Below are 17,910 nucleotides of genomic sequence, written 5' to 3' on the forward strand. Positions count from 1 at the left end.
TTAGTACCTAGCTGTGTTCTAGGACATAAAACCCAGCAGGCAGTCAACAAATATTTGGGGGAAAAGTTTATCTATTCAATAGTTATTCCACCTTTCATTCTAATGCAATCCTGATCTTTTAAAGCCCAGCAAAATCATTTTTTGGCCATCCTTTCTTGCTGATAGAACTAATTATGTCGCCTGAAATACAAGGAGGTCTTATTGGGCAGAGATCCCAGGGGAGCTCCTCAAAGGGGCACAAATTCAGTTGGCTTATGCCCTTTTACCATTTTGGCCTCTTGCCCTTTGTCTTCTACTTTTCCATGCCTGCAAAGCAACCATGATGACATGAGATGCAGCCAATGACTTTCAACTGACCTTGAAGAAAAGCTGTGCAACAATCCATCAGGGATATAATAAAGGATTCCCTCTATAGGAATATATATGTATATATCTCCCTACATAGGATATTCCTATATATCTATAGGAATAGATATATAGATCACTATATAGGAATCTCCTTGATTACATCCCTGATGGATTGTTGCACAGCTTCTCCTTGGGGAATGCCCAATGGCAAGGAGCTCATCATCTCAAAAAGCAGCTCCCTGGGCAGGTCTGTTTGTTATCAAACTTTACCTTTTTGTGAATCAGAATTTCTCCTGCTTTAATGGCTATCCATTGGTCTTAATTCCATTCCACAGGAGACACACAGAAAATAACCAGTCTCTTTGTCATGGCAGAACCCCAAATATTTAAAGGCAGTCACCATATTCTTTCTATATCCCTTCTATGTTCAGGCCTTCCAGAGGTATTCTTCCTTGTTTTGTTTTTTGTTTTTGGTCCTTGTTATGGCTTGAATATGCCCCTCATAAAGCATGTGTTGGAAACTTAATCCCAAACGTTACAGTGGGGCCTAATGAGAGGTGTTTAGATCCTGAGGGCTTTACCTTCATGAAAGGATTAATGTTGATTTTAAAAGTGTTTGAGGCCTTGAGTTCAATCTCTTGCTCTTTTATGCCCATGTGATACCTTCTGCCATCTTACATTGCAACAAAAAACCTTCACCAGATATGGTCCCTCAGTCTTGGAATTCCTGGTCTCCAAAACCAGAAGCCAAATAAATTTCTGATTTTTTTTTAAAATAAATTACACAGTCTCAGGTTTTGTTATAGCAGCATAAGATGGGTTCTGTTAGATTTTTTTTTTGTGCTCTTATTTCTTCTCCCTATATTCTGAGTCAAAGAAATACATGTACTTTGATAATGCATTCTCTAACCCTTAGTAGTTTCTATTTTATAAGCAATCTTGTGCATTCAGCGTGTAATCACACACACATACATACACACAAATGAAGAAAAGATTCTGAAACGGTTTACTCCAGTCAACTGAAAAATCAGCTGACATAGAATGAGGATGTGTTGTTTACAAAATGAAGTGGTTATAGTTTTTTGTTTTTATGTGAAATTTTTACACTGGCACTGTAGATGGAAACGGCAGTTGTAAAAACATTACTCATTTAACAAGAAACCCCAAGACATTAATGTGATTTACTTTCATATCCGGCTTATGTCTTCACCATGTATAACTTTATCATTCCCTAATTTGGGGGAAGTTTGTGCTTCAAAGACATTTTGCAATTAGTAGCACTTGAGCTTGGATATATAAAGCAGGAAACAGAGTGAAAGGGATAGAAAACCCCAGTAGCTATAAAGTACAAAGTATTTCATATATTAAAATATATGATCTAGTTAAATGAAATTCAGATATCAAATTCTACACATGCACATTCAGAGTCCAGTGCATAGAGATCAAAGAAACAAGCAAACATAGGTTTATCTGACAACACCTTGTCAGATAAGCTCTGTTCCTTTATCGAGAAGGTAGTGGCATAGTGGCATTTGCTGGTAGGTGGCTTTTATGCCTACCAGAATGTGCCTGGGCCTCCTGTGGAATGTCTGGCATCTCCATAGTTAATTAATCTATTCTGCATTCTTCCTCTCCCCCACAGGGCTGACTGTAAAAAATCTTGCAGGGAGAAAATCTGGCTTCCGAAGCACTGCTTAAGTGACCTGACTTCTTAAAATAGTCCTTCATAAACAAAACTCACATGATATAATTTGAGTGTGTAAATCCAATTACATTTCCTGGGGAAGTGCAGGGAAGATTATACTAGCTTTCCCTGCTCTGTTGTGGCTGGCTGAAGCAGCATTCCTCGACTAAGTCCCCACAAAAATCCTGGGAAGAAAATTCTTTATATAACTCACTCTTTTGCCAACTGAGGTTCAAACCTATGTATCACAGAAATTTTGCAACCTTCAATACTGCCACTAATCTTCATGTTCTGTTACTTTAATTCTGCCCCAAAGAGAAAACCAAGAACACACTTCAGAAGTGATAAGTCAAGTGAACTGCTATGTTGTCCAGCTGCATATTCTGAGTCTACTGGTCTCCCAGAGAATCAATATTGTACCTATTTGGTGCTGAGAGGAAAGGTTTAAGATGAATGTTGCAAGTGTCTCCTATGTTTTGGAAATAAACACATGTAGAATCAACTTAAATAGACACACTTGTGAAATGAATAAATTAGCATCTTAAGAAATATTTAGACAACAGTAAAATGTCACATCAGCATGATTGTAGTAGTGTCCTCTGATTAAATGTTGCTAGCAGCACTGAATATGGAATAAACTCTTTTTAAAAATATTTCATTTTTTTGCTTGGTTTCACTCATTTCTGATGAGCTCTTAAAATGTCATCAATCATCAAAGTGTAAATATGACTAATGCATTTGTCCTACTTAGCATGACATTGTAGCAGCTGCTCTAGAAGCAAAGTCCTCCCAATCTTCCCAGTTCTAATCTAATTATGCTCTGACCTGCTGATAACAGTCAGGTGATATTACCAGATATGAAGGAAAACAAATTCATAATTCAATCTTGCAAAGCACACACTACACAATCATTTTACAACTCTCTAAATACAGAGACAACAAGCCTATTTGCAACTCCAGGGCAAAGATGTCTACAGGCCAGAGCTGAAGGGATTTAATTGGTCATTTCAGCAGTCATTAAGATATCCTTTGTAAAGCCCATTCTCCACCAACACACATACACAAAAGCACACACACACACATACACATGAAGAAGAAAGAAAGAAAAGAAAAATAGAAAGAAAGAAAAAGGAGACTCTCTGGGTATCTTTTACAAGTAAGAGAGAATAATATTTCCATTTCTCGGTGTTCAGAGGAATCTCTTGGGAAGGTTGACACTCAAATCGGCTTTTGAAAGGCATTTTTCTCAGACATGCTGGAAAGCCGACATTATTTTTTTAAAGCCTATATGAATTTCCTAAAGAAAAATGTACAGAAATGGAGATATTTGGGGTTTTAAGAAATGCACACCATAACTAGTGAGGTGCATTAAATTGGATTCCAGTCATACTCATTTAATGGATATTTATGTCTCTCAAATGAGTACGTACCTTGATACCAACTACCAAATTGGAATGATTTATATTACATGCCATTTGTTGTACATTAAGTAGTCACAGGATTCCCTTTATTTGATTTGAGATAGCTACAAAGAACCTTAGACTTAGACAAAGAACATATAATATCTTATGTTTAAACTGTATAAATGATGGGAGAGAAGTTGGTAATTTTATTATATTTATTTTATCTTTACTGTGAAGTCAGTCCTTCATTTAAGTGGTCAGAAATGTGTATTTAAGTCACATAGAAAGTCAGCTCCCCTCCTGAACCCAACTTACTCATACTATACACCACTATCTTATCCAGCACAAAGAAAAAAAAATTTCCCCTAAAGGATTTCTTAAAGGCCAAATGTTAGGCTAAATGTCCCTCATTGTAAGTCAAGTTTAACAATCATTCTTTAGCATTTTTCTGGCTCTAGTCTCTCCTGTTTGATAGGATGTTGAAAGGTAGGAAAGAAAATGTTGCATGAGGAATTTAAATCTGACAGCATGACCTTGAGCACTAAGTAACCTGGATTTGCATATCTGACTGCCTTTGATTGTACAGTTATCTTGGAGAAATCATCTCCACTCTGACAAGTCCGCTTATCTATCTCACCAAGAGGCACAGAAAACTAATTAGCCACTAGCTGTAATATTTTAGAATCCCCAAGAGGGAACCATAATGCAGCGATCTTTCTGGTTAAATATTGCTGCCTCTCAGTTTTCCAGTAACTAAATGATTTCCACCATCTTATCACTAATGAGCTAAAGTATGAGAATGAGATGAGTTTCAAATGTAAGATAGCTCATATTATTGTCACCAGCAATTAAAATAGAGTAAAATGCTAACTATAGCAATAGCATTTAGAATTTCTCTACCTTGTGAAAGAACCTAGCAAATATAATCTTATCATCAATCCTTTATTTATACATATAACATCATTTTGTAATGAATTTCCTGGTGGATAAATCGAATTGGTGATACAAACAATTGGTTTATGATGTGGAAAAAATAAACCAGTGTCTTAGGAAAATCTGGACAAGGTATTCCTATCATTGGTTTGAGGCTTATTTAACTTGGATTGGGTGCGGTTTCATAAGAAAGAAACGATTGTAGCCCTAGTGCTACCTATAGCTGAGCTAAGTCAGAGTGAAATAAAAGGAACCCTTCAAACTGGGTTTTGAGCCTTCTGAAAGTTTCTCGGTCTTTCCGATGCCACTCCAGATGCAGAAAACATATGGGTGATTATGTCTGCTCTAGACAATAATCTCTTTGTTGGGTGGGAAGTCAATGTTTGTAGTGTGTTAATTGAGTAGAGAAAACATAAACCATCTCTTTGCTGATGGCAGGGAATTTCCTGAGTGGCCCCTTTTAGGTTCCATTTTGTATCCACAGTGGAAAGCAAATGGTGATTCAATAAACACAGGGCTTTGTCTCTTCATATAGGGTGTCTGCAGAGATTTTCAGTGTGGTTGCTACCCTGTCAAGTCACAGATGTCATTTCCTTCAGGGTAGAAAGAGGGAAAGCAGATTCTCATAGCTTAGATTAAAGGAAGGCAATCATTGGCTCATTTGTTCCTTTCAAAAATGACATTTTCAGTGAAGTGAAACAGCTGCCAAGGTGTGCTAACTCTATACTCCCATTTTCGTTTCCTAAATCCTGAAAATGCTAAGTTAAACATTAGCTATCCTCCTAAAGAGAATGAAGATTAATGTGGAGAAAGATGCTATTCCAGTGTTTATGGCTTTTAGTTGACAGATTTGTATCTAGCTAAGCAGAATGATGAGCTAGCTACAATGAGCCTATGCCCAGCAATTCACTCATTTTTCTCTCATAATTTCCCTTTGGCTTCTTCGTTAAATGTTTATTTAACTCTCTTAAGTAGTAAAAGAAGTACTCCTCAGTCTTTAATAGTTTCAAATGCTTACATGTTTAGAAGGATAATCACTAAAGGGTTTCTGAAGAATAATTGGCATCAGAGTCAGGGTTTGAATTCTGTCCTCCACTTGCCAGGTTCCTGATCCTCAGGGTATCACTGTAAAGTTTCTAGGATTCTGTCATTTTTTTCTCTGAAATGAAAATGAAGGATGATACCATCTATTTTTCATCATTAGATATGATGATGCACATAAGGGTGCTTAGTTACATGTAAAATACTGTGCAAAGTAAAGGATTATTATTGTTTTTGATTTCTTTAGAAGATGTTTACGTGTAAGACTGCGTTACACACATATGATGTGTATGTGTGTGTGTGTATAGAAAGCTTTCACCAACACAACATCAGGGCACTTGGATATTTTATAATATTTCCTATATGATGAATTGTCTTCTTCATTCAGTGACTGTTTGTTGAGTACCTGCTATATGTCTGGCATTTTTCTACAGGCCGAGGATAAAATGCTATTTATGATAGACAACATCCTTGCCCTTATGGTGTTTACATTCTTGTGAGGGTGTGGGGAGAAACATAGTAGATATAAACAAATAAGATAATTTCAGATAGCAGATGTGCTCTGGAGAAAATGAAACAAGTCGTTTACTAGAGAAAGTAGCATTTGAGAGTCTGGAACAATGAGAATGTGCCAGTCTTATAAAGACTTGGGAAAAGTTGCTCTAGGTAGCAGGTGAAAAGACCCAGAATTAGGAAGAGCTTGGAATATGGCAAAAATGAATAGCATATTTGGAGCCTAATGAAGAGAATACAAGAGAAGAGAAGAGAGGGAAATATGGTTGGAGAGAGAAGAAGCAACTAGCTCAGAGAATCAAGCATGCTGTGGTAAGAAGTTAGGATTTTACTCGAGTTGCTATAAGAAGTGTTTAGCAGGTTTTGAGCATTCCTTATGTGTTACCAGACATGGAAAACTAAATAGTACCTATTCAAAAATCACAGATTCTTATAAAAAGCGATTTATTCTCTACTTCGTCCATCTGCGCGATCTAGGAAAGACTCTTAAGCCAATAGAGGGCGCCAAAGGACCTTTAAAAGCCCTTTCAGCACTGAAGTGAGGGGAGAGCGCTCTGGTTGTTCTTTTAGAGTTTTGGTAAAAGGTGACTCAACCTATGAAATCGTAGTTTATCTGTAATTCTTACCCAAACAAAAAATTGAATGAGCTTAGTTTACATGCATCAGGACCTTGGATTTCACAGTGGAGAATTGTTTATGATGAGATGAGGGTGGGAAGACATTTGGGGGTTATTTTTAATCTTCTCCCATCTGGTAGTATTTGAGTAGAATATAAAACAAATATGGAGCCAAAATTTACTTTCTGGATTCACTTGGCAAGAAAAATATATCTATACTTAGAACTTTGAAAACACTCATAATTTGCCACTTAGGATGTGTTATTCTAAATACTATTCCAAACTTACTTATTAAGTTTTCTAGTTGTGTGTACTGAGAAAGGCTATTGCGTGAAAAGTAGTGGGTTATAATACATGGAATTTCTTATACATGATCAGATAGCTATGCTTTATCGTGAAAACAACTCATAGTGAGTTAGATGAAAAAAAGAGAAGGCAAAGAGAAGGAAAAAGAAGGAGGAAGGGGAGGAAGACAGGGAAGAAAAGATCTGCTAATGTCTATGTATACAACAAAGAAAAATAAAAAAGAGAATGAGAGAGCTTGGAAGAAAGTAGATTTAGATGTACTGGCATGTAGATCTTCATGTAAACAGGATTGAGAAATAGTTAATACCAAAGAATTTGACTTCCACTTCCCAGATTGAGACTTATTTGTTATATGTAGATATGAAGGTTCATGGTGACTGTGATAAAACACTCATTATTGTCTTTAATAAGAAAAAGTTCAGTCAATCAACCCTTACTCAGAGTCTCTCATCTCTCCATTTCATGCTTGATAATCACAGGCATGTAATTTATAAACTCTTTGCTTTACCCAGAGAGACTTCAGAAAGCACTGTAAAAGCAGCCAACCAGATAAGTCACCTGAGCAAAGGAATATAGAACCATTGGAGAAGAGACAGGATCCCACATTGACCAGAAGTCCAGGAGGCCAGTGATGGGTGAAGCACTCTAACAGTGCTGGCAATCTAAACATCATGAACAATTTTCAGTGGGGTCGTGCCTGTTTATTCTAAGCATCATCTATTCAAATTCGACCATAAGGAAGAGGAGTTTTAAGCTTCTAATACAGCAAAAATGATACAGAGGCTAACGACAGAGCAGGCCCATACAAAGCAGCCCCCTGACCATGCATCTCACACCAGCCATCTGTTTGAAAACACTTCACTTGACATGTTTCCCTCATTTTTGAGAAACCCCCAAAGTCACTCTCCTGTTACCTACCATACATTTTGCAAAGACAGTGCCATGCCATTAATTAGCTATTGGTTCTAGTAAATTTAAACAATAGAAACATTGTCTACTTTCTCATCCATAGACAATGTGAACTTTGTTCACATAAGCATATCCATATTTAAGGGGAAGAATAGAAAAAAAAGGAGGAGAAAGGAGGGAAAGATACCTAAAGAACAAGATTCCACCTAAATATAATATTTAAAGCATCTACATCAAAATGCCCTTTTCCAATTAATCAAAACTTGCATTCTTTGCCACCCCCAATTACTGAGGTTGGTTTATTCAAAGCACTGGGGTCGCATCGTGTCATGAGAGAAGATATCATGTTTGGTCACCAAGGCAATAAAAAATTCCCGAGAAAACCATGTGTCATAGGATTGTTTGAAGGATTGGATGACATAACACGTACAGTACTCAGCACTGACAATCAGTATGTGTTTAACAAATGTATGTTCCTTTGAGAACTGAGGGTTTGTGGCTTAGAGATACGGAAAAACCCAACTCTGAAGCCCAGAGCCTGCTACAACACCCTGCTGCGACTCTCCTGAGGAGAGATGTTAAGGAATGGGTCACCTTCTAAATCTGGATGCTTCTCCTCCCCTTCTGTCTCCTGCTCCGGAGACTGCAGACCCTGAGGGAGGGGAATGAGGAGCAGAAAGCAGACTTTCTTAGCTGATGTCAGAGTAGAATTACTCATAGAATCAGAGTAGAAGGGTAGAGTTGGTAGAAACTTTTAGAGGTCATTTAGTTCCACTTTAAGAAGAGATTGCATTCCGCTAACACTCAAGACCTCCTAGGTACAAGGCACTGTGCCAGACTGAAGGCGGAGACTTAAAGAGAGTGAGGCAACCCTGGCTCTCTGGAAGCTATATGATCAATAACCCGGGGAAGTTAGAGGGGAAACAAATGCAAGGCAGGCAGGAGTTACCTGGTTGATGGAAATGACCGCCAGCCGGGGTATGACCACTTGGAGGATGACCTGCAGCAGCGAGGTGCCCAGGCCGGCCAGGATGGCCCAGGTGAGCGGCAGCGGCAGCATACTGTAGGTGGCGAAGAGCGTGAAGAGCACGTAGCCTATGCCGTCGCCCAGGAGCCCGTAGCCGAGGCCTGCTGCCAGGATCTGGGTGGTCATGGCCACCCAGGTGACCACGCCGCTGTACTGCAGGTACGTGTGGGAGGTGGTGTCCTTCCTGACCACCACCAGGGCGCAGATCACTACCTCAATGCCGGTGAAGAAGCCCAGCAGGATGCCCTTGAGCGGGTCCATGGGGGCCGAGGCCAGGCTCAAGTGTAGGACCAAGAGAGTGAGTTTGGTCAGCACGTCCAGCACGTTCATCACCACTTCCGATTTGCGCCTTTGGCCCAAGAAATAGCGCTGGTAGAGGCGTTCCAAATCCCGAGATTTGAAGGAGTTGCGCAGGGTGGGGAAAATGACCCCTCGGTAGCTATAGCCCCCATTAAGAAAGAAATCCGAGTTGCTAGGGGCACAGTCAAGGTGCAGGAAGCCCAGGTCGCCCCCGCCTCCGCTGCCGCTGGCACTGCCGCTCCCGCTGCGTTCCGGGAAGACTTTGGTGCCGCAGGTGCTGTGCGCTCGCTCTCCCGGGCCCAGCGAGTAGAGGGGCAGCGCCGAGTCGCCTGACAGCTGCGGCGCGTGGTGGTTGGGGCCGCCGCCCGCAGGGTCCGAGGCTTTGCCCGAGCCTCCACTCCCGCTGCCGCTGCCTCCCCGGTGCCCGTGAATGAAGCGCTGCTCCGTGATGTGTCGCACCGCCGTCTGCCACAGCAGCCGCTGCGGCCGGGAGGCGCTCCTGCCGTCGCCGGCCGGGGGCGTCGGGTGGATGGTGTAGAGTTCCTCGCTGCCTGTAAGGCAGCGCACATCGGAGAGCTCCATGGCTCTGGGCCGCAGGGAAGGAGGCCCAGAACCTTGGGGAGGCAGCCGGAGGAGGGGTTCCTAAAGACTCAAAGGCGGCCTGGTAGGAGCTTGGCAAGGATCCTTTTTATCCTAGGCTGCCCCGTTGCAGGAGCCCTGCGCTAGGGCTCCCTGTAGGTCGGGTCATACTGTGCCCAGGGGCAAAGGGCACCTGGAAGATCGCGGCGGACCTCGGCGTCCTTGCGTGCTGCTCTCCCGCCAGCCGGCGCAGCTTGGGTACGCAGCGGCAGTGGCTATTTGTCCTCAGGAGCCGCAGCGCTGTGAGCCACGCAGCCCCTTCCTGGGCTCAGGCTCCTTGGTTGATTCTAGGCTCAGCGTTTTGGCGCAGCCTTTGCTCTCCAAGAGACGCCTAAGCGCCTGGGCGCCGTGCTTCTGCTGCGCGTCGGGCGGGTCCTGGCTGCTGCACTGGGCTTTGGACGCCCACTGCTCCGCGGCTGCAGGGGGCCTGGCCGGCGGTGACCGGCGGCAGCGATGGGTGCGAAGTTAGCAGATGTGGCTGGAATCATCGCCCTTCGGAGAACTCCATTGCGCCGGGATGGGGAGCAGGGGCGGAGCTGGGGGCGGGGGCAAAGAAGGAGGAGGAGGGGGTCACGGTGAGGTGGCGGGGCGCCCCGCGACAGGGTTGGAGAGGTGGTAGCCTCGGCGCTAACAATTCACCAAATAGTTAATTTGGAGGAAGGGGTATGCTGAGGCTCCCTCCTAGGCTCTTTCCTAGTTCGGGAGCAAGGACTGACAGCGCAGCGCTGGCTCTGGCCAGAAGCATCCCTCCCGGAGGGGGTGTGGGGACTCTCGCTCCAGGGTCCCAGCCTGAGCTATAAGACGAGGTCAACGCTTTCAGCTGTGCTTTCGAAGGGTCGCAGCACACAGTTCTCATCCCCTTTATTTCGTTCTTTGGAGTCCATTTGGCTCGGAGCTAGGAGGATCAGGAGAGGCGGGGGAAGGAAAAAGTGGTGAGGGCTCCAAAGCCAAGAGCTCCGAGAACGAAGAGAAGCCGCCGGTGCGGATATCTGAGGCTGAGAACCGAAGCTTGGCGGATGAGGCGAAGGTTTGGAGGAGAAGGGAGGCCCGAGGCCGCGTGGAAGTCGACAGAGACGCCTCTGGATCTAGGGAAGCGCCGCCGCGTGCCACCCTGGAGCTCTGAAACGCACCGCGGGCGCCAGGCGACTGGGAGAAATTTGGAGACCTGTCAGAGTGGTCAGACACCCGCGGTGACTTAAACCCGCCCCCGCGCCAAGCCACGCCCCCGGAACCGGGCCGGGGGTGGCGGAGGGACCTGCCATCCAGATCTGGCCAGGACGCCCCAGGTCTTGTAGGCAGAGGCACGCGCGGGCCGGCGTGGGAGAGGACCACTGAGGGCTAGGGCCGGCGGGCGCCCCCGGCCTTCCCTGGGCGCACTGCGATCCAGCGTTCCAGCTGGCCGCGCCAGCCGGTTCCTCCGCTGTTCTTTTTTAGGCATTGGCTCTTGTCCTCTGCAGGTGCGGAGCCAGGACTCGTAGGCCGCTTTGCGCACGGACTCGGAGAGCCCAGCGCGACGGAATACAGGGTTTCCTTTTCGCCCTTCCTACCCGTGCGTCTTTTGGCAAAGCCAACTTTCGGGCTAAACGCAAAATCCCCCAAGAGGCCGCAATCATAGAGGCAGTCAGTTTCCTACAGGAGCCTCTTTACTACCTCGATCCGAAGGGGGTGGAGGGTACGGGACATCAAAATGGGGACGTCCCCTGCCTGCCTCGCACACTAAGTTTCTCCGCTTACAATAGGGTCGAGGAGGCGGACGTGGAGAAAGGCATGTCCAGGGGCCCCGCCTCGCCCTAGCCCAGGTTTCCCGCCCGCCCAGACTCAGCCGAGCGCTAGCGGACAAAGCCTGCGGCGGAGCTTGCGGCGGACCAAGTCGCTGAGCGGTGGGAGCTTAGTGCCGGTGCTAATGACAGATGAGCCGCGTCCCGGGGTGCAGGGTCTGCAGGGCAAACGCGGCCGCCGCAGTCCCGCAGCCGGATGCAGGTGGAGGAGCGGTGGTGGTCACCACCTCCTCCACCAAGACTGCGGCTGCAGCCAGTGGAGCCCGGGCCCAGAGCACAGTCAGCTGATGGCCAATGACGTCAGGCCCTGGGCGCGTTCGCGGCTCCCCGTGGCGTCCCATGAAAGCCCAAATGACCGCCTTGCCTTGCCGCCCCCTCAGTCCCTCCTGAGCAAGAAGAGAAGCTCCCTTCCCTCCTGCCTGTCCTAAGGAAAAATAATTTCGATACCCCCACCCCCAACCACATACACTGTCTCCAGGGTTATTTCTGTCGGCCGTGTCCCAGAAACGCGGGGTTTAATTCTTTGCTTTTTAATTCCTGTTTTTCTCCCCACGCATTTCGGCTTCGGGTTAAACCCAAAACGGGCCACCTGCCTTGCACACAGAATTCCAGAAGGAAGAGAAAAGAATCCTCTAATATTCCCCCCAATCCCTAACCAGTAGATTTCTAGAATTTCGTTCACTCCCTGGAAAAGACTTCTTTAATTTCAATCCTTTTAAGTTGTATTCTACCATCCCCCAAGAAAGCCAAAATGAAACGCTCAACTTTAAATAGATAGACGGCTGATTCTATTTTTAACTCTGCTTGTAGATGAATTAATCTGTTAACATTAAAGATCTCCCAGAATAGTTGGCCTATCCCATGGGCCTGGAAGTTAAGGGTAAAAGTACCTCAAACAACTCTGTGTTACAGTTATCTAGCCCTTAATGAAATAACCCCTGCAATTACATTCCTGTCAAAGAAATGCTTCTTGCTTCTTCCTTCCTGAATTTCTTGGACTCATCAGCCTCACCCTACTGGAACTCGGGTGGGTAATGAGTCTCTTAACTTGAGATGGGAACCCAGACGGAGCACAGCTGGGAAGGCTGTCCTATAGACCCTATGCCAGAATGTGTGGGTAGCTGTGTCCTCTCTCTGCGGGCATTGCCCGAAGGCATCTGTGCTAATGACCATATTAGCAAACTTGGCAATGGAAGGCATCACTTTATTTTCTCACTTCTTTCTCCTTGGGGCCCTAAGGACTCAGCCTGAATAAATGAGGGGCTGGATGCAGTTGGAACTTTCCTATGAAAATCTTTCTCCAACCTGGACAGCTCCCAGGATGATTTATTCAGCAGCAAAAGGAGGCGGGCCAAGGAGGGGGAGATTGGACCCAATCAGATAAAATGACTCAGGCTGATGAATGAACACAGCATGCTACAGAAAGAAACTCAATTTCATGAACTCAGAGGTTGAAGCTAATGCATCAGGGAGAACACATCACATCTGTTCAACTGACTGAACGCTTCATGGCTGGAAGGGTGTTACCGTAGATTGTTTTAAAATAAGAACATGGATGACACAATTAGATTCCGATGTTCTTCTTGTTGGGATGACATAGTGCCATTCAGCCCAAGAAGCATTCTGTTTTTGAATGAAAGCATTGGTTCAACACAAATATTTAGAAGCTTTTTGGAATATGCAAACCACCAAATGATTAAGAGCCACTTAAAACAAGAGAAGTCGGCTGGGGGCGGTGGCTCACGCCTGTAATCCCAGCACTTCGGGAGGCCGAGGCCGGCGGATCACGAGGTCAAGAGAATGAGACCATCCTGGCCAACATGGTGAAACCCCCTATCTCCTAAAAATACAAAAACTAGCTAGGTGTGGTGGCGCATGCCTGTAATCCCAGCTACTCGGGAGGCTGAGGTAAGAGAATCACCTCAACTCGGGAGGCAGAGGTTGCAGTGAACCGAGATCACGCCATTGCACTCCAGCGTGGGCGACAAGAGTGAAACTCCGTCAAAGAAAGAAAGAAGAAGAAAGAAAGAAAGAAAGAGAGTGAAAGGGAAAAAATCAAGAGAAGTCCACACATTCTTTTGAAGCTATGATAGATCTTTCATAATGCTTTCATTTATCCTCTGCATATTTATTAAGGCAGGGTCTCTACTGTGATCTGAGGACAGCGTTTTAACAATTCAGTGTCTTTTTGCACACAACTTCCTCCTCTTCCCCTGTATTCCTCCCTGAATATACTTGCTTACCTCATCCTTCAAAGTTTGAGCAATGTTGTCTCTGCATGAGAACTTTCCTGATATCCCCATTGAGAACTAATGACTTCCTTCTCTGTTTAATAGTCTGTTATGGGTACTTTTGGTATGGTCCCTTATACAGGGACTAGCCATTGGCGTATGTATCTGTCACTCCTCCCCATGAAACAGTGAGCTCCCTGAAGCGAAAAACTGATTTTCCTTGGGCCCATATCCCCCAACTTCTAGCAACTATAATTTACATAGAGATAATAAGATAATAATAATGTTAGCCACGATTTAGCACCTACTAGGTGTCAGCTCTTTCTTAAGATTTTTTACAAATGTCCCATTTAATCATTCTAGTAATTATGTGAATTAGGTCCTTCTCTATTTTATTATTTCCATCTTACTGACTAGGATACTGAGTACCGAGGCTTCATGTGGCTAAGTACCTTGCCCAGGATCTCGTGGTTAAATCCAATGCTTAAAGTTGTATTGCAGGAATCTGACATCCACATGCTCAATAAAAATGCTGTCATAAGCAGTCAGTAACTGATAGAAATAAAAATGTCACTTTTTTGAGTTTTCAAAGGCAAAGTAAATAAGAAACTTCTGAGACATTTAGACTTTGAGAAATCTGTTAGGATGAGCCTGAATCGCAGATGAAGGTAGTAGAACTCTTTATTGTTTGAATGGAGGGCCTACTAATTCTGTTTCTGTTCAAAACTTAGACACTATTTCTATAATTTATAGAAAAAAACCAGACTTTCACAATTGAGTTTAACGAAAATACTTAACTTGGTGTAATTTATTTCATTTAGGTAGTTGTGGTGGTGGGGGAAATATCCTATTGTTTCACTGGAAAATAACTTATTTGTTTAGTGATGTTGCTACATACCATTGGCCACATTTACAGTAGATATGTTTAAGAAAAGGAAATTTGTTTTCTCCCTTGATGTACCTTTGACTTCCTAGGTTGATTATATTAATATATGAATTTAAATTTTTTAAGAGCCATAACCTTTGCTAAGTACGCATAGAAACTCTGACACTTACTGAAGACATATAAAATATTCACATGTAAAAGAAAAGATGGACTCAGTTCAGGAAGGGGACATGAAACCAGAGAGATCCTGTTTCCAAAGGGAAGGAGGGTGTTTGTGACAAAGCAGCTTCCAAAGTAGAAAATCCTTAAAGGAATATTACATGCCTGCCTTGCCTGGAAGAATTACTCTTAGGAAATATCAAAAGTATCAGCTGCTTTGACAGCACTCCAGGAAATGTCAATGTCTTAGATACATAGGGATCATCTTTGAAAAGTTCTATGAATTAAAAACTTTGCACTCACATTTCATCTGGAATGCAGTACAATACACAATAGAATACAGAAGATGTCTATGTTACTTTTATCTTATATTTTCTCTGCCTTGAAAAATACAGGAAAAAATGTTTGTAGACATTTTGGATCTTCACAGGAACTAGTTTAAATTAGATTCTGGTGCCTGGAAGGAGAAGAGTGTCTCATCAGTGGGAAAACAATTCTGAGACAAGAAAGGCATAGCTCATCCATCAGGCAGTCAGAAGAAGAAAACTGCAAGGGAGATAGACTTAAATATTTTCTTCTTAAAAGATGATTCTCTTGATGCTGGTTTAACTAGAGGATGAGCTAACTATGACATCAGTAATTAAGACTTTACTTACTGAAGTCCTAAAATAAAAAGAACACATACACACACACACACACACACACACTCACACACACCATGAGAGAAATGATTAGTAACATAAGGTAATGAAAAGCAGTAATGAAAGCAAAGAAAAAGTGGGTTTCCAGCTAGTGCAGTCGTGTCACTAAATCTTCTTTTGGCTATGCATTTTAATTTGGTACCTATATGAAGTCTTGGGGCAAAAAATGAGCAGACCCATTGGGAAATAAAGCAGATAATTTTCCCTTATCCTCTTAAAAAAATCTATCTGATGGCTATTTTAATATCACAGACTTATTTTTAAAAATATTTCACTCTATTACTGTTTTCTCCATGTGGGCTATTGATGTTTATGTTGACTAAGCTAGCACTTTTTAGACATTATAATGCAAATACATTTATATAGTCGCATTGATATCATTGCATATATTAATCTTAATTCATTAATTTAGCATAAAAAATATCTCTTTCCCTTTCAGAATCAATGTATTTCTGTTTCTGCACAGTTGGTGAGACATTTAACCCACATCCTTCTTGGGACTTTCACCTGTACCCTCCTAATCCCAGGAAGATGCTATAGTTCTAGGTGCTAATGCAGTGCCAGATGTGTGTGGGGGATGCCCTCATGCATGTGCTTGTCTTCTGGTCTTTGACTGTTCATTCACAAAGGTCACCACTTAGGCTTTTGTTGGTCCTACCCATGTGGTCCTATCCTGTGGGTCCAGCAGCATTCTGCATTGCTTTTGTTCAACAAGTAGACAGGTGAACCTTTGTACAGGTCTGCCCATGATCCCATTTACTTGACATAGCACATTGTCCTTCTACTTTAGGATGCTGTGCCTTCTCCAGGATATACCAAAAAGCCATTATTTAGGATGCACAGACTCTTCACCCAACCCCACCAGTTGCAGAGAACTGCTTTCTAGTCTAGTGAGAATCCTTGTTTTTTGAGCATATCTGACTTTTCCTGCCTTCTTCTGTTTTTCCTTGTTCCTTGTAACTTCTTGTACCTCTAAAACCTTTAAGTTTTCTTTTGGGATACATTTTTGGAAAAATAAAAACTGGAAAGATGGAAAGAATAGTTTGTCTCTGCTACTCCTTTCTTGAAGCGATTGACAGAAAAATTGAATGAGGGAATGGAAAAAGGGGCATACACAGTAAATCTCATGAATTAATACTTGAAAGTGGCATCCACATATACTAAATGTATGAAATGTATGAAATCCTCCTAGATCAGTTTTTTTCCACACTGTGGGTTCCAACTGACTTGTGGGGTTGTGAAATCAATGTAGTTGGTCAAACTGGTATTTAAAAAATAAATAAGTAAAACAGTAAAACACAACCATAGTGATAAATATTGTTTTGTTATGGTATACAAAGGCATTTTTTGGTATAAAACAAATCCTTTCCCCCTGAAGTGAAGAACTGAAGAAAATTAGACAAAATTTCAGAAAAATACTTTATCAAAATCTTTGGACTTACGATGTTTTATCTCTGTGACCTTGAACAAGTTATGTAACCGTTTTGAACTTTCACAATATGGTGGAAAAGTAAAATTTTGCCAAATTTTATGTAGATCAAAGGTAATTCATGCAAAGCACTTGGTACAATGCATCACACGTGGGAAACATTCAGTATGTATGCACTCACCTCATTCCACATTCTCAATAAACAAGACTTACTGAATACCAACAAAATAGTTCTCAACTTTCTTCTGTTTCACTCCACTGCTGCACTCCTGTTTTCGTATTTTGACCACCATCCTCCCTCACCTAGATGATTTCAGTAGACACTGAATCTCTTAGCTGTAGTTTGCCTCCTTTCTTCAGCTGCTGTGATCAGTCTAAATTAAAAATATTATCATGCTACTCTTTTTCTTAATAGTGGAAAAAATACACATAAGACGTAAGACTGACCCTCCCACCAATTTCCAAGTGTGCAGTTCAATATTGTCCACAACATCCACATTGTTGTACAACAGGTCCCCAGAATCCCCTCTCAGCCCTGCATGATTGAAATTTTATACCTATCAAAGAACAACCCTCCCCTCTCCCTCCACCTAGCTGATCATGTCACTCTCTTGCTTTGAATTTTGTGATAACTCTGCTTTACCCTCAAATGCCTTAAAATAGAAGGCAAACATCTCCAGGACTGGCTATTTTTTCTCTCTCCAGCCCCATCTTTCACTTCTACCCCTCTTGCTCTTAGTGCTTCAACCACACTTAACTTCATTTAGTTCCCCAAAGGTGTCCTGTTCTCTTACTGTTTCCTTTGCCTGGAGTCTTTGTATGCATCTTTTTGCTCTTAGCATGGATGTCACCTTCTCTAAGAAACTTCCCTTAGCCTCCTATGTCTGTTAGATGTCTGTATAAGTTAGAAATGCTTTCGGCTACCGTTAATGAGAAAACTATAAGAGTGGCTTAAACAAATAGGAGTTTGTTTTTCTTACACAGCAAGAAGCATGGATGTAGGGAT

At 42.9% G+C, this 17,910-nt stretch overlaps 1 protein-coding gene and 1 long non-coding RNA gene across 8 annotated transcripts in view, besides 2 other annotated features; one reads left to right on the forward strand and one right to left on the reverse strand.

The window, feature by feature from the left end:
• Positions 1-10,239, reverse strand: part of ADCY8 (adenylate cyclase 8) — a 260,609-nt gene extending 250,370 nt beyond the window's left edge. For all 5 annotated transcript variants that reach the window (XM_017013006.2, XM_006716501.4, XM_005250769.4 and 2 more), the window contains exon 1: positions 8,704-10,239. In XM_017013006.2, coding sequence (XP_016868495.1) covers positions 8,704-9,663 — 960 coding nt within the window. In that variant the 5' untranslated portion in view covers positions 9,664-10,239. The remainder of the gene's footprint in view (positions 1-8,703) is intronic.
• The window catches only part of LOC105375760 (uncharacterized), a 257,327-nt gene continuing 248,268 nt past the window's right edge, over positions 8,852-17,910 (forward strand). For 2 of the 3 annotated variants that reach the window (XR_007061183.1, XR_007061182.1), the window contains exon 1: positions 8,852-8,940. This is a non-coding gene — a long non-coding RNA (uncharacterized LOC105375760). The remainder of the gene's footprint in view (positions 8,941-17,910) is intronic. The other variant, XR_928653.3, reaches the window with a different exon arrangement.
• Positions 9,439-9,978: an enhancer, noted in NCBI's record as "H3K4me1 hESC enhancer chr8:132052355-132052894 (GRCh37/hg19 assembly coordinates)". NCBI's record gives its function as "activates a minimal SCP1, AML or CMV promoter by ChIP-STARR-seq in primed H9 embryonic stem cells {active_cell/tissue: H9 hESC(primed)}" and the evidence as "EXISTENCE:reporter gene assay evidence [ECO:0000049][PMID:30033119]".
• Positions 9,979-10,517: an enhancer, noted in NCBI's record as "H3K4me1 hESC enhancer chr8:132052895-132053433 (GRCh37/hg19 assembly coordinates)". NCBI's record gives its function as "activates a minimal SCP1, AML or CMV promoter by ChIP-STARR-seq in primed H9 embryonic stem cells {active_cell/tissue: H9 hESC(primed)}" and the evidence as "EXISTENCE:reporter gene assay evidence [ECO:0000049][PMID:30033119]".

Source organism: Homo sapiens, chromosome 8 (genome assembly GCF_000001405.40).
Source record: "Homo sapiens chromosome 8, GRCh38.p14 Primary Assembly".
Classification (NCBI taxonomy): domain Eukaryota; kingdom Metazoa; phylum Chordata; class Mammalia; order Primates; family Hominidae; genus Homo; species Homo sapiens.